General features: G+C 42.2%; 2 annotated features.

Annotated features, from left to right (window-relative positions):
* Positions 10,469–10,578: an enhancer, noted in NCBI's record as "active region_11164". NCBI's record gives its function as "activates an Ori minimal core promoter by ATAC-STARR-seq in GM12878 lymphoblastoid cells {active_cell/tissue: GM12878}" and the evidence as "EXISTENCE:reporter gene assay evidence [ECO:0000049][PMID:35858748]".
* Positions 12,129–12,238: an enhancer, noted in NCBI's record as "active region_11163". NCBI's record gives its function as "activates an Ori minimal core promoter by ATAC-STARR-seq in GM12878 lymphoblastoid cells {active_cell/tissue: GM12878}" and the evidence as "EXISTENCE:reporter gene assay evidence [ECO:0000049][PMID:35858748]".

Genomic DNA, 15,394 nt, shown 5'->3' with positions numbered 1-15,394 from the left:
TATTTCTGGCTTTTTTCTTCTCTCCACCATTGACTAGGCCCTCATCACCTGGATTCTTGTCATAATCTCTGAAGTTGAGACACTTTCTCAATTGGAGCCCCTTATTTGAACCACTGAATACAGAACATGATTTGAATGATGATTTTTCCCAATGCTTCTAAGGATGGGACATAACTAGAACCATTCTCAATGCAGACAAGAGAAATTCATCCAATAATTAGAAATCTTCTAGAATTCTAGATGCAGAAGACTGAATTTTGTTCATTGCATGCAATGGATGCCTTGGAGCTAATACTCTTCTCTTATAAAACTCCAGCTCTTCCAGAGGCTTCTAGAATGAGGTTCCTGAGAACTGCTGGATACAAGCCTATTCCCTTCTGAAAAGTCTCCTTTTGACTTTCATTTGCTTCCCTTGGTTATGTGGGTCTCTTGCTAAAGCCTCCACTTTAGAGACACCTTCCTAAAGTACATCTTCTATTCCCATTAGTCTCTGAATCCTAGTTATTTCCTCCCCAGTAATTATTACAAACATTACTTACGGTGTTTATTTGTTTGCTTATTTGTAATCGATTTCCTCTTATTGGTAGGTAAACTCCACAAAGGGCAGAGGCTTGTCTTTCTTGTTTACCACTGAATCGCCAGCATTTACATCATGAGTGGATAGTACATTCTCAGTAAATTTCAGTGGGGTTAACTAAGTATCAATTAATCATAGGATTTATCAAGTCCCAGTAAGAACTATGCATATATAAAATAAAATAGTTATGTGTAACCCTCCTCCTACACACACACAAACACACACACACACACACACAGAGACACACACACCAGAAACATCCGTGTCTTGGTTTTTGTCTCCTTTTCATTAACTTCCTGAACTTAGCATGCCATGAAACTGGTCTTCCCAACAAGCAGGATCATTAAATATTCAGCCCAGTTTATCTTTGCCTGCTCAGATTACATTAGCCGAAGGCCTCAGCACAGTCTTTTGGGAAGAACAGGGATCTCATGGATGAATGGCAGGAAGCCCACTGCTCGGGGCAGGAAGTGATGGAGAAGGACGGGGCTGAAAATGAAACAGGCCCCCCTCAAGCCACTTAAAGAATGATGGGCGCATCTCCTAGATGTCGACAACATCTGCTTGACTCAGAGTTGGTCACAGTCACTCTGTGTCTTCAGCAGGAGGAGCCCACTGGCAGTTTTCGGAACAGCACACACTAGCAGTTATGCAGGGAACAGACTGCTGGGACAGAGTGAATTTCCAGGTAGCGGGCCTGCCCGGACCTGCACTCCCACCCTGCATTCAGGCACGCATGTGTAGCAGTCCTGTTGTGGTGAAACTGGAATGTTCTGAGCCTTGTGAAACCAGAGAGGTTTTCTATGGGCCTTCATCATGCAGCAATTCCATTTCATTTTTATTTGTCAAATTTTGATTTTGCTCTGATTTCAGTCAGTGCTAAAATGAATATTAGCACACTCCTTTGTGAATACCTAAAAAAGTAGACTGTCTGTAGAAGGTATATATTTATTCATGCACAACACACATATATCTCTATATTGCCTCTTCCAGTGAAGCTATAGTGATATCCTAATAATAGCTAATGTTTCTGAAAACTGTGGCTGATACCATGCAAAGTGGTTTATGGAGTAGGATAGCTAGATTTAGCAAACAAGAATAAAGGACACCAAGTAGGTATAAGTAGTATGTCCTAAATACTTCATGGGGCATATTTATATAAGCTAAACAATTTTGAGGGTTTTTTTAGTCTGCAATTCATATTTATGGTGGAATTTTCTACTTTATCTGGTGATCTTACTTATGGGTGTGTCAGTTTCCTAAGCCTGCTATAAAAAAAATTACCACAAACTGAGAGGCTTCATACAACCACCCAGAAAAAAATGTATTCTCTACAGTTCTGGAGAATACAAGTCTGAAATCAACGTGTCAGCAGGGCCATGCACCCTCCGAGAGTCCATAGCATCCTTCTTTGTCTCCTCCTAGCTCCTGATGGTAGCCGGCAATCTTGAGTGTCCTGTACCTTGCAGTGGCTTCGCTCCAATCGCTATCTCCATCATTACATGGTGTTCTCACTGTGTGTCTGTCTCTGATTCTCTTCTCCTCTTGCAATAAGGGCATCATTCATATTGGATGAAGGGTCCACCCAGTCTCAGTTTGACCTCATCTTGACAAATTATATCTGCATCAAACCCTATTTTCAAATAAGGTCTTTAACTCTGAGATACTAGGGATTAGGACTTCACCGAATCTTTTCAGGTGACACAATTTATCCCACAGCATATTGGTTATCTCGTTTTATTTTCCTTCACAGGATAACTTGATTCGGTTCACTATGAGAAAACTAAGTCCAACATGTTGTAAATAACTTGTCCAAGGCTGCACCGCTGTAAGAGAGAATCGCGAGATTGCAACCCAGGCAGGACAGTCAAGGAGCCTGCACTGGTGCTCCTGATGCTACACAGTCCCTAGATACGTGAAAACTATTCAACTCAAGGCATAAAAACTCAGGGCCGTGGTCTCTGCTTAGAACAATCTCCATGGGGCATGGCCATGGGCCAGTCCTGACCGTCTTTGGCTCTGGGTCCTGATATCTAAAATAAAAAGGTTTATGTAGAGCTGTGCTATCCTAGAGGGGACCAACAGCCACACATGGCAATGGAAAGGCAGCTAGATGGAATGGAGATAGCTTTAGTATCACAAACATACCAGATTTTGAAGACTTCATCCAAAACAAAAAATACGGTAAAAGAGCTCACTAAGAATTATTTAATATTGTTTACATGTTGAAATAATAATATTTTGGATATAATGGTGTAAGTAAAAAATATTGCTAAAATTAATTCCATCTGTTTCTTTTTACTTTGTGGATTTCATATTAAATGTTTTTATTTCACTATTGTTATTATTTTTATTCATCTGTTTTCTTTCCTACTTTAAAATTATTTCATTCATAGCCTGCACTAGCTTAGATCACTGAGCCTCGGACTTTTTTGTTTGTTTTTTAAAAAACTGTCTGTTTAACTATGGAACACTGCATTCAAGCACAACGCAAGATGTCCTCAATAAAAATTAGTTTTATTTATTTAATCACTTATTTATTCAACAGACGTTTATTGATCACATCCTAGACACTAGGTACTTGTCTAAAACTGAGGATTAAATGGGAACAACAGAGATGACATATCTTCCTCCTCTCTTGGACACAGACCCCAAAATGCACTCCCTAGGCAAGGTGTTGGCCGTATCAACCTATGACAATCTCAGCAGCAGTGTGGTGTTGATGTCTACCTATTCTCCACTTATTAAAATCAACTGATCTTTTTAATGAAGAAATAATGAATAGAAACAGGTTTAACTTTGTCGTGGTGTTGAGGCATTTTCAATCTTCAATATATAAAGCAAACAAAACTGTGAGTAGAAGTTAGAAAAAAACACACAAAAGAATGAGCATTTAATTGAGAGTTGGGAAGGCATAAGAGTATTTTAACCCTAAACAATGTCCGTAATAGTAAACATGCATTAATTTGAATCTCTAAAAAACAATATTTATATTTAAACAATTATATCATAAAGCATGCTTGACTTTCTAAAATATTATTTTGAATGTAAATTTGTAATTTTGAATATATAAAATACAATTGGGTCAAGTAAAAGATCTAAGAAATGGCTGCATTTAAAATATTTATAAAGAACATTACAAATCATTTTAACAAAAAAATCACCGCTATCCTATCATCTTAATAGATTTATTTATAGTTTTTCTTTTTTGCAAGTTATTTTTCATCTCCGTCTATTTCTTTTTTGCAAGTTATTTTTCATCTCTGTCTACATGTGCATATTTACATATTGTAACTGTAGTACAAGCATTATTTTGCATTCTTTTATTTATATATCTTTCATCCATCTATCTTCAGAGTTATAATAAGCAACAAATCTCTGCTGACTCATCTGTTTCTCGGGGAATTATCTGAACACCCTGACTCCCTTACTTGGTCAGTATTCCCTTTTTAATCATGAAAGGAATGTTTCTATTTTCTTTTTAGCAATGATCAGAGTTGCGTTTTTACCGTTTTATGCGTGATTCTTTGATTAATATCTGTTTCTTCACTGAAACGGAAGTTCTTTAAAGTATCATTTTTAGCTCTCTGTTATATCCTTAATCCGTGGTAAGTGCTTATTAACCATTTCTTAAATACATGGTACATAACAGCTACATAATATCTCATCACATTGATGTTGCAATATTCTTGATATCATGCCACTACGGTTGTACACTAATTTGGTTCAGATATGTTTCTTGAATAAAACACAGTATAATCAACATCTTTATGCATTTAATGTTGTAAAAAATGTATTCCCTTAAAATAGAAATCACAAGGTCAACAATTATGAAAATTTTATGGCCCTTGATGTATCTAATCATAGGATATTCCAAAAGGGCTAGGCCGATTTATCAACAAAGTATGACTATCAAATGATGAAACTGTTTGAAGCATTTATGATTATAAAGTATATATACGCATAGTATAATTAACTTAATAATATTAAAATTATAAGGAAAAAACTTCAAAACACCATAAGCACACTATTCAAAGATGATCACCACTTATCATTTCTTCCAAGCTGTGTTTCAAATGTATGGTGTGTGTGTGTGTGTGTGTGTGTGTGTGTGTGTGTGTGTGTGTCTAGAGACAAATGCCAGTTTTGTCAGTGCTGAACCATACAATTTACATGGCTGAATACCCTGCTTCTCTTCCTCCAACTGCCATTACCTAATAATAATTTTCAAATCTTCTAACAACTTAATTTTCATGGTTGCATATAACTTTGTTGTATAGCTGACTCATAATTTAAATGTCCTATAAGATTTAAAAATTGTTTTCAATTATTTCCTATTACATACATGGTAGCACTGATCTTTTTTTTTTGTATATACAGTTGATTCTCATTATTTGCAGTGGCTGTGTTTTATAAAGTCACCCTGAACACAGAATTAGTGAATACTGAATTATTCTCTTAGGGGAAATGTGGTTTTTTTTTTTTTCCTGCAAGCCTCTGATCACATTTTCATCAACTGACCAATGCATAACTTTATTTTACGTATTTCTGGTTAGACACCTTACTGAGTTTATATTATTCGTTCATTAACATTGAACTCTGGGCTAGTATTACTCTAACTCTTGCCTGAAAGAAGTTTCTCTAACACGGGTATATTTTCTCCCTAAGGCACATCACAGCCATCCTGCGCTTAGAAGCACCATACAGCACTTCAGCACTGTGCTTAGGGGTCGTTGTCTTTTTCTCTTTTTCTTTTTCTTTCTTTCTTTCTTTTTTTTTTTTTTTTTTTTTTGATAGAGTTTCACTCTTGTTGCCCAGGCTGGAGTGCAATGGTGCTATCTCGGCTCACCACAATCTCCACCTCCTCGGTTCAAGCAATTCTCCTGCCTCAGCTTCCGGAGTAGCTGAGATTACAGGCATGCACCACCACGCCCGGATAATTTTTTATTTTTAATAGAGATGGGGTTTCTCCATATTGATCAGGCTAGTGTCAAACTCCCGACCTCAGGTAATCTGCCCACCTCTGCTTACCAAAGTGCTGCGATTACAGGTGTGAGCCACCATGCCCAGCTGATTTTCAACAGTGAAATCACCAGCAAAAAGCAAGAAATGTGGGGGAAAAAAGTGGCAATGAATTGACTGCACAAAGGACATTGTTTACAATATAGAGCAGAAAGTTGCCTCGTGCCATCTTAGATGGAAAGGTGTTGCATCTTGGGTGACTCTAAATTTTTTTGCTGTTCTGTGCATGTTCACAGATGACCACAGGAGTGCCTTCAGTATTGATTTGGGGATTACAAATAATTTTAGCAAATAGGTGTATTTGCAAGTGCAAAATCTGTGACTAATGAGGTTCTAGACTGTATATCTTTGGGGATATTGGATATTTCTCCTTATGTCCTTGGGATAAACATGAAGTAAAGTCTAACCCTAGCATTCCTTTGAAAGGGTAGAAAAGGGAGCTAGTTGATAGCCATCTATCCCCTTATCTTAGAAAAGCAGGTATTAGGGATGCCTTTTGCCATGATTATCTCAAAGTCCTCATTAGTTCACTCCTTTTAGCCCTGAGATCTGACCTAGATTCCAGTTTCAGATGGGCCACTTCCTATGAAAGTGACACTGAGCCAGTTTCTTCACCATCCTGAGCCTCATTGTTTCCATCTTTAAACAGGTTAACTGTAAGACTCACCTCAAAGGGCTGTTGCAAGGAACAACTGAGTCAATACAGGTAAAGCATGGGACAGCCGCCCTCATCAGATTCAACAAATCATAGTGTGAGTAGAATGGCGTGTCTGGGAGGGCAGTTCTCCTAGAGCCCGAATGTGTGCTAACTATTCGGGACAGCCCATGGGGATCTGTAATTAAGATTTTTATGTTAAACTTCATAGGGCTTTGTACTACCCGAGAAAGGACAAGAATCCATATATCATCTAAGGATCAAAAGTTACCAAACTGTCCCCATTCTGGTTCAAAATCAGTCTCTTTATCAGTTGACTTCAACCTTGAGGCCTCAGACTGTAGCTCAAATTATCAAGTGATACATTCTCTCTTGTCCTCAGCCATAAGTTACCTAAAAAGTCAACTGAAAACTAGTATTGTGATAGAGTGGAAAAATCACAGGACTTTGAGCGGTACTGACCCACATTTGAATTCCTAGTTCTTTCTCTTACTCAGTGTGACTTTTAGCCCAATCACCCTATCCCTCAGAGAGTCAGGTTTTCCATCTGGAAAATGGACAAGGAAATATATATTTATTTATGTAATTTTTTTTTGAGACAGGATCTCGCTCGGTCTCCCAGGCTGGAATGCAGTGGTGCGATCCTAGTTCACTGCAGCCTCCACCTCCCGGGCTCAAATGATCCTCCCACCTCTGCCTCCCAAGCAGCTATCATGCCTAGCTAATTTTTTATTTTTTGTAGAGACAGGGGTCTCACTATGTTGCCCAGGCTGGTCTCAAACTCCTGGGATCAAGCAATCATCCAGCCATAGTCTTCCAAAGTGCTGGGATTACAGGCATGAGTCACCGTACCCAGCCTCGTAATTTTTACGTTTGATGTAGATGTTTGTCAAGTTATTTTTGAAGGTTCTAGCCTGATGGTCAGCACCTTGTAGGTACCATGTAACTGCATCTATTGTGAGATTGCCTGCGTGCGTCACCTGTGTGTTATGAAAAGTCACTCTGAATTTGGTTCTTGTAAATATTTCTGTAAGTTTCCTGTGTATTAATTCACATTTTCCATTTTGCTTTCTCTTTTTCGATCTTTTTTATCCTGACAGAAAAAAAGAATGGAGCTAACTGTATCACAGGACAAAATCTTTACTTAGAATCTGAACCTGTAGCAAGGAGCAAAATATATTGGCATGTAAGACAAGGCATTGCACTGACTCCCATTTCCTTGAAATCTATTTCCAAAAATCCTGAGGGAGGTGAGACTCTCATAGAAAGACAATAGAGGGATGACATGGAATTGTTATAAAATGATGACTGTTCCAGTGCCAAATGGGAATTTAATAAAAAGGATAAAATATTCCTATCCCCTTTCTTCGCAAAACTGATGAAGCTGTTCAACGTAATTATTACAATTTCCCTCCCAAACACTCATGTCTTTGGGGTACTCAATATTCATTTTAATGCTCTGAAGCTAGACTTTATTTTTTTCCTTAAAGAGAGAAGGGAAGAGACTTTTGTTAGTTAATAATTTCATAATTCCAAATTTGAGTTAGATACAATTAAATGTGTTTTTCAAATGATATATATATATGTATGTATGCTTGTATACATACATGCATACATATATGTACCTGCATACCTGCTCTTACCCAGAGAGACAGATTTATCTGAGGGATAGTTAACTAGTTACCTTGATGCTGGAGCTATTGATAAAAAAGTGGTGGTTTTATTATTTGTGTGTGTTGTTTTTTTTAAAGAGAGGGGGAATTTTATCAATGTCAATTTCTTGGTTGTTATATTATAGGACAGTTATGTAAGATGTTACAATGGGGAGAAGTGGGTAAAGGCATAAGGGCCTCCTGTATTATTTCTTATAATTGTATATGGATATTCACTTTTTCCAAGATAACAAAGTTGTAAAAAGAGAGGGAGAGGGGGAAAAAGGAGGACATAAAAATAGGGAGGGAGAGACAGAGACAAAGAGAGAGATGCAGAGAGATGGGCACACACACAGAGAGAGACTGAGAGAGAAAAAAGAATGAGAGAGAGATGGGGGAGAGTAAGAAAGAGAGACACACACAGAGACAGAGACAGACATACAGAGAGAAAAAGAGATAGAAAGAGATAGAGACAGAGACAGAGATTGAGAGAGAAACAGACAGAGAGACAGAGAGATTGGGAGAAGAGGCACAGCCCCTCTGCCTTGGGAAGTCGCACCCAGCCCACATTTGCCTACAGCACGTGTGCCCTCCCCTCACCTGGCTCACATCATCTCAACCTTCAGATCTGAGCTGCAGCGTCCTTCCTTCCTTCCTTCCAGCCATTCTCCTGGCTCCTTCTGTCCTTCTGACCCTGCCTGAACAACCTCAGTCACTTCTATCCACAGCCTCCTCAGGATACCTCCTCAGGAGACCCAGCATCCTTTACCTTAGGTCATTAAATGTTGATTCATCCATCAATATCCACCTCCCTGTGAGGGTCGGGGCTCCAGAGACAGGGCCCATCTCCTGAACTCCTGTTATCTTCACCTGAGCTTGGCCCAGCACTCAGCACATAACGGGTATTTAGTAAAGGTTTCATAGAAAAGAACTTTTTCCTATTGCTTTGTGATTTCATTCTTCATTAAAAATGTTTGGAAAGCTCCCCGATCTCCAAGATAATTTAAAATTTGCATTTTCGCTAACTTTCCAGGAATGGAGACAGTAGCATTTACTGTCTTTAATTCCTCATCATCTAAAGGAAGTGGAGTAAGACCCCCAAACAGAGATGGCCTCACTGGGCCTTTCCACACTTTGGACCCAGGCCACCGGGCCATCTGCGTTCCTCCCTCACATGTCAATGCCACGTTCCCTCCCTGCGCCCGACTCTGCGTACTTGCTCATGTCTTGGTTTCCTTGTGGCTCAGCTCCCTTGGCGTGGCATGTGACTACTCTATGTATGTTCTCCATCTGAATCATGCCCCCTCCCCCTTAAGGTTCAGGTCCTCTGAGATCCCCTCAGGTCTGTTATTCACCCTCTTCTTTTAAGATTCCATAATGCCCTGGACTTCTCAGTGATGATTGCAGGGGTCTGTGACCTGCAGCAGGCAGGGGTTCTGTGTGTCTCAGGCACTGCTTGTGGGTTCTGCAGCTATCTCCAGCTAATGTGGTGCTGACCCCGAGGAATGGGTGTTGGAGCACGCTGGTGAAGACATCAGCACTACTTCTCCAAGGTGGGGCTGCAGGGCTCGGCATGCCTGGTTCATCCTTCTGCACCCTCTGCTTCCAGAGGCGTCGCTTGACTTGCCCCATCAGCCTTCTCCCATGGTCTTGGGATCCCATGATCCACCAAGATCACCATCACACAAAATCCTCATGTTTTGTTCTTGCTGTTGCTCACATGCCCACCTCCCTGCCTGGACTCTCATCTACATAAGGGCCAAGAATATGTTGTACAAATCTTTGTAATCCCAGCACCTGGAATGGTGTCTGACATACAGGAGATGGTCGGCAAATATATGTCAAGCAAACCCACCCTGTGTGTCTTTTCTCTCATAGTTACAGCTGTGCATATCACTATTCTGTGGGTATGACTGAATTAATTTCCCAGCGAGTGGTCTCAGGGATCCTGGAGTTGAGTGTCAGCTCTCTGGCTTGAGTACAGCAGTCTCCATGGATATCACTGTGTATCACACCCACCAGGAAGCCCAGATCCAAGACTCTTTGAGTCAACCAGTGTGACATGAACCTGGGACTACCATACATTTCAAAAGATCCCCACGTTGTTGGTTCTAAGGTGCACTCACGGTGGAGAACACGGGCCCAAGAAGGAGCTAGAATTTACCATTAAGTAACCAAAATGAGCTGAATATTCCTTTGAAGAATTTAGCAAAAAGTCAGGCACTAGATGTAATAGCACAAATACCAAGAGTGAGCAAGCGGGTTTGAAATGGAAATGCAAATACAGACTCTGAAGGGATTTCCCAGGCTCCAGGTGTCCTAGCAAGGACAGTCTGTGGTTTCAGCTATGTGGGGGAGGGTGCTGTAGCAAAGGGGTTCTGGTTCCTGGGTCCTGAGTCCTGGGTCCTGGGTCCTGGGTCCTTAGTCCTGAGTCTTGGATCCTAGGTCCTGAATTCTGAGTCCTGGGTCCTGGGTCTTGGGTCCTGGGTGCTGAGTACTGGGTCCTGGGTCCTGAATTCTGAGTCCTGGGTCCAGGGTGTCGGATCCTGAGTCCTGGTGTTCAGGGTCTTGGATCCTGAGTCCTGGGTCCTGGGTACTGAATTCTGAGTCCTGGGTCTGGGTCCTGGATCCTGGGTTCTGGGTCCTGGATCCTGACTCCTGGGCCCTGTGCCAGGCTAGTAGATAGGCTCAAGAGAAGGAGCTGGAGAAACTTTGAGAGAGAGGAAAGAACGGCTGCTGCCTTCCAGGGTATTCTAGGGGACAGGGTAAAAAAGAAGTAAAAGGAAAAGAGAGAAAAAAGAGAGGGATGAAAAGGAGAAAGGAAAGAGATTTGCAAGTTTGGAAAGCCAAGGGCTGCAGGGTGAATCAGGGTCAGGAGAGAGAGAGGCATTGGAGGAAGGGAACTTATGGGCTGGGCCCCTTTCAGTTTTCTCCAGGCACCAGAAGCAAAGATCTCAGTTTCTTTTCAATTACTCTTGACTGCTGAACTAGGCTTTTTTGAAATGAGGCTTCCTGCCAACATGGTGCCACGCAGGCCCTAAGTGTGTATGTGTCTGTGTGTGTGTGTGTTTATATTTGTTGTCTTGGTATATTTGTGTATATGTCTGTGTACGTCTTTGTGTGTCTGTGTGTCCTTGTGTGTGGTGTGTGTCTGTGAATTTGTGTGATGCATGTCTGTGTAGGTGCTTATGTGTGTCTGTGTGTGTGGTATGTGTCTGTGTGTTTGAATATGTGTGTTTGTGTGCTTCATTGTGTGTGCATTTGTCTGTGTGTATCTGTGTTCATGTTTGTGTGCATTTGTGTGTATCTATCCGTGTGTGTATCTGCGTGTGTGTATCTCTTTGTGTGTCTGTTCCTGTCTGTGTGTGTTTGTGTATCTGCGTATCTGTGTGCCTGTATCTGTGTGTGTGTGTGTGTGTGTGTGTGTGTGTGTGTGTGTGGTGTACCTAGGCAGTCAACACAGGAGAGCATGGGCAACCTCAGTCTGGAGCCAGGCTGCTGAGACTCACACGCTGACCCTGGCATTCCCACCCCTGTGACCTCACAAAGTTGCTCACACCATCCGTGACCCACTCGACTCATTGGTAAAATGGGGATCATTATAGGACCTGCCTCTTGGGATGGTCGTCCTTGTGACATACAATATACAGACATGCCAGGCACACAGGCAGTATTCAAACACAGAAATCATAGGCATCCGAGTATACTCTCCAAGCAGCAACTCTGGGGCCAGGACACCTGTCTTCTCTAGTACCCTAATTTCTTTAAGGTGACCAATTTGCCTCTGTTTTCTCAGGGTTGAGGGGGTCTTCCTGGGACCACAGACTATCTATGTTAAACGTGGAATAGTGCTGGGCAAATCAGACAAGTTGACCACCTTATTTGTCATGTTTCACCCCCATCCCAATTCCCAATCCCAATTCCATTCAAGGGTCTGTAGACAGCAAACATTTAAGTATGATAGGGGCTCTAAGCCAAGAAGTTGCCTAAGGCCTGGGATCATTGTTTAACTCTTCCTGGGGTGCTATTGCTCCAGTGTGTCTGGGCTATCTGTTGCCTAATGCCTTCTCAGAAATGGGCACGGTTGGGTCCAGAGGGGAGGTTGGGAGCAGAAGAGAGGCAAGGATGGCTGGGCCCTGCAGGAGGTGACTCAGCAATGGGTGCAGTGTTTTGTCACAACAGGCCCCCTTTCCCTTGAATGCCCGTGCACCCATGACATGCTCCACCGGTTGCCATGAGTCAAGCAAGATGAGGTTCTCCAGGCTGCCACTCAGTGCAGGCCGGATCTGGCCTCCTCCCTGAGAACTTCCCAGTAGGAGGAGATGGCCCCTCCCCTGGGCTGAAGCTGGAGCTGCAAGAGCCAGGCCAGGTCTGGGGAGAAGTTGCAGCTACACCTGCTTCCAGCTGGCCACTCCGTGGAGAAGCCAGAAGCTGAGTCACTAGAATGACAAGCCTCTGCCATTTCACAGGAGCTGTGAGCCAAGGGAGCTGCTCCCTGAACACAGCTTTTGGGGTGAACCTCCCAGTTTGGGTTATTTCCAAGCCAAAACTCTTCTAAGCAAAAATGTGATCAAGGAGGCTTCTGGTCTCAGCTCCCCAGGGCAAGAAAGAAATGAACGTTAATAACGATTTTTGTCGCTGCCACCATCCCCGCTATTTATCCCTCCTTCACCAAGCACCCACTGTATGCCAAACTTTTTATACACTTTCCATCAGCCAACCTTTGAAATAGCTCTGGGAGATATTTCTTATTATCCACATTTAATACACAATAAAATGAGGACGTTGGGAGATTCTAGATTCTAGACCTTGGACTCGGCCAGGTCTATGGCTGGCAAACCCTGGACTTTTACCCTTTTGTGCACCTGCCCAAATCCTGCCTCTCAGGTCCACCCACCCTAAAACCACACTTGACAGATGCTGAGTCCGGGGTCCTGTTCAGAAAAAAAAAAAAAAAAAAGATAGGGAGAGAATAGAATATTGGATTCAGAGGAAGTATGAATAGAAAGGAAACTAAAAATGCAAATATTGCCTTTGCAAAGAAATTACTTATGAATTCACAGGTTTCTTCCCATGTTTCTGCCTCAGTTTCCTTTTGTATTGACTTAGGGATCATCTTCAATGCAAGCATCCACGTATTTCCCAGAACGCTTTAGGCTCACGGGGTCGGTTAAGGGATCCCTGTATGCTCAGCGGAGGCATTTACCAGATCACACTTCCCTTGCATGCCTTTGCGATACTGTCAGTTCAGCCTTGTACATACATTTGAGTTAATCCACATGATTGCTCTTATTCAACATAGATCTGGTTACGTTATTTATTTGATCACAAAATTTGCTTTAGAAAATCTGAATTTATTTTATTTTATTTATTTTATTATTATTAATTTTTGAGACGGAGTCTCACTCTGTCGCCCGAGCTGGAGTGCAGTGGCGCGATCTCGGCCCACTGCGAACTTCGCCTCCCGAGTTCACGCCATTCTCCTCCCTCCGCTTCCCGAGTAGCTGGGACTACAAGCTCCCGCCACCACGCTCGGCTAATTTTTTTTTGTATTTTTAGTAGAGACGGGGTTTCACGTGTTAGCCAGGATGGTCTCGATCTCCTGACCTCGTGATCCTGCCGTCTCAGCTTCCCAAAGTGCTGGGATTACAGGAGTGAGCCACCGCGCCCGGCTAATAATCTGAATTTATTATCCTCACCCCTTGTTTCCACTCAATTGTTCAGGTCTCCTCTGCGCACGTTTTCTGGAGGGGTCGGTGCTGTCTGGGGTCTGTGCCTTTCCCTGTACTAGGAAGTCCTTACACCCTTCTTCACCTGGAAGTCTCTTCTCCATCCTTCAAGCCCTAGTTCCTCGAGGGAGGCTCCTCTCACTCCCCTTAACCCTGCCTGCAGCTGCCGCAGCAACTTGCAATGACACAAACCCTACTCTCAGCACCCATCTCTGCAAAAGTTTCCAAATAGAAATGAAAGTTAGAGTTGTCTGAGATGTTTCTTAAAAATGAAGATTCCCAGGGCCCATCACCTAGGTGTTTTGATTCCATAAATCTTGTCTGGGGCCAATGAATCTGTGTTTTTAACACACGCTCCAGGTCATTCTCATTTAGATGCTTCTTGGGCCATTCTTTTAAGAGACTGCACACTACTGTCATTACTTATTATTTATATCTCAGTTCTCTGCCAACCTCCACCTACCTGTCATCCCTCAAAGGTCAAGAGCTCTCAGGAACAAGAACAGCATATTTTCATTTCTAAGATGCTGGGACACCACAGATGGTCAATAAACCTGTGATGACTGAACTCGCTATGCAATTTGTCCATAACTACTTAATAAGCACCTACTACGTTCACGGACTTGTCCTAGGCACTGGGGAGAAGCAACAGAAAACAAAAAGGATGAAAATCCCTGCCCTATGGATCAAGCAATGGATGTGTGAATTATGAAGACTAGATTCAGAGTGTCTGAGCTTTAACAGTGATGTATCGGAGGGTTTTCATTAACCAGACATTTAAGTATCTTCATGGACACTATATAATTAAACCCCACAATACGTAAGAGATAAACAATATGAGAGAATGATTGCTGTCATTTTTTTTAAGCAATGAGGAAACTGAAAATCAGAGAGGCTGTGGCTGTGGGGTGCTACACTGTTACTTGCTTGTAGAGTCTGGATTTCAAAGCTGGCCTGTTCCGTTTCTAGTGCTGAGTCCTTGGTTTCCTCTCCTGGATTCCTTTGCTGCAGCGTCACATCCCACAAGCCCAGGCCCATTCACATGATACAGGAGATCTTTCTCAGCAAAGCCCGGGTAGCTCAGCAGCTGAGTGAAGGCATTCATCCGTGATGGCATTCTCCCTAGCAAATTCACCTGTGAAGCAACCTGTGAAAATCACCTGTGGAGCTACCTGCACTGAGGTTCCACTGAGCTGTAAGTTAAATGTATATCGGCACAACCATGTTTCATGAAAAGAAGCCTGTTGTCATTCATCATGCTTTCATCAAGAGGGTTTAGAGCAGAGGAGGTTGAAACAGCTTTCCGTTGGTGCAAAAAAATCTGAGATTAATAGTAAACCTTGAAAATTGGAAAGCATCTGATTTGGGCTTTTGCATCAACAAGCCCAATAAGTTGGAGGAAATTATTAACATATAAATAGACAAGCTTCCCATTAAAACAGCGGTCGCAGACAGTTCTGGAAAAGACCTCTTCATGCAGAAAGCAATTACGATGGGAAATCGAGTCCAATTCAGGCCCATTTGCAGCAAGCTTGAAAAATCAAAATGTACCCACTCATAATCATGTAGACAACCCTGTTATTGGGGTGGGGCAGGTTGACCAGGTCTTTATTATTATTGCTATTACTATTTTACTTTTAAAGAATCCAACTTTCTAAGCTCCAAGTCTTAACTGCCTCACAACCTCTGCTCAGAAGGTTACAGCAAAGGGCAGACACGCATACTCATATACTAGCAAAACAAAACAAAGCAAAACAGC

The sequence above is a fragment of the Homo sapiens genome, chromosome 16 (genome assembly GCF_000001405.40).
Source record: "Homo sapiens chromosome 16, GRCh38.p14 Primary Assembly".
Lineage (NCBI taxonomy): Eukaryota > Metazoa > Chordata > Mammalia > Primates > Hominidae > Homo > Homo sapiens.
The sequence above is the reverse complement of the archived record's forward strand: the minus strand, read 5'-3'. Positions and strand labels throughout refer to the sequence as shown.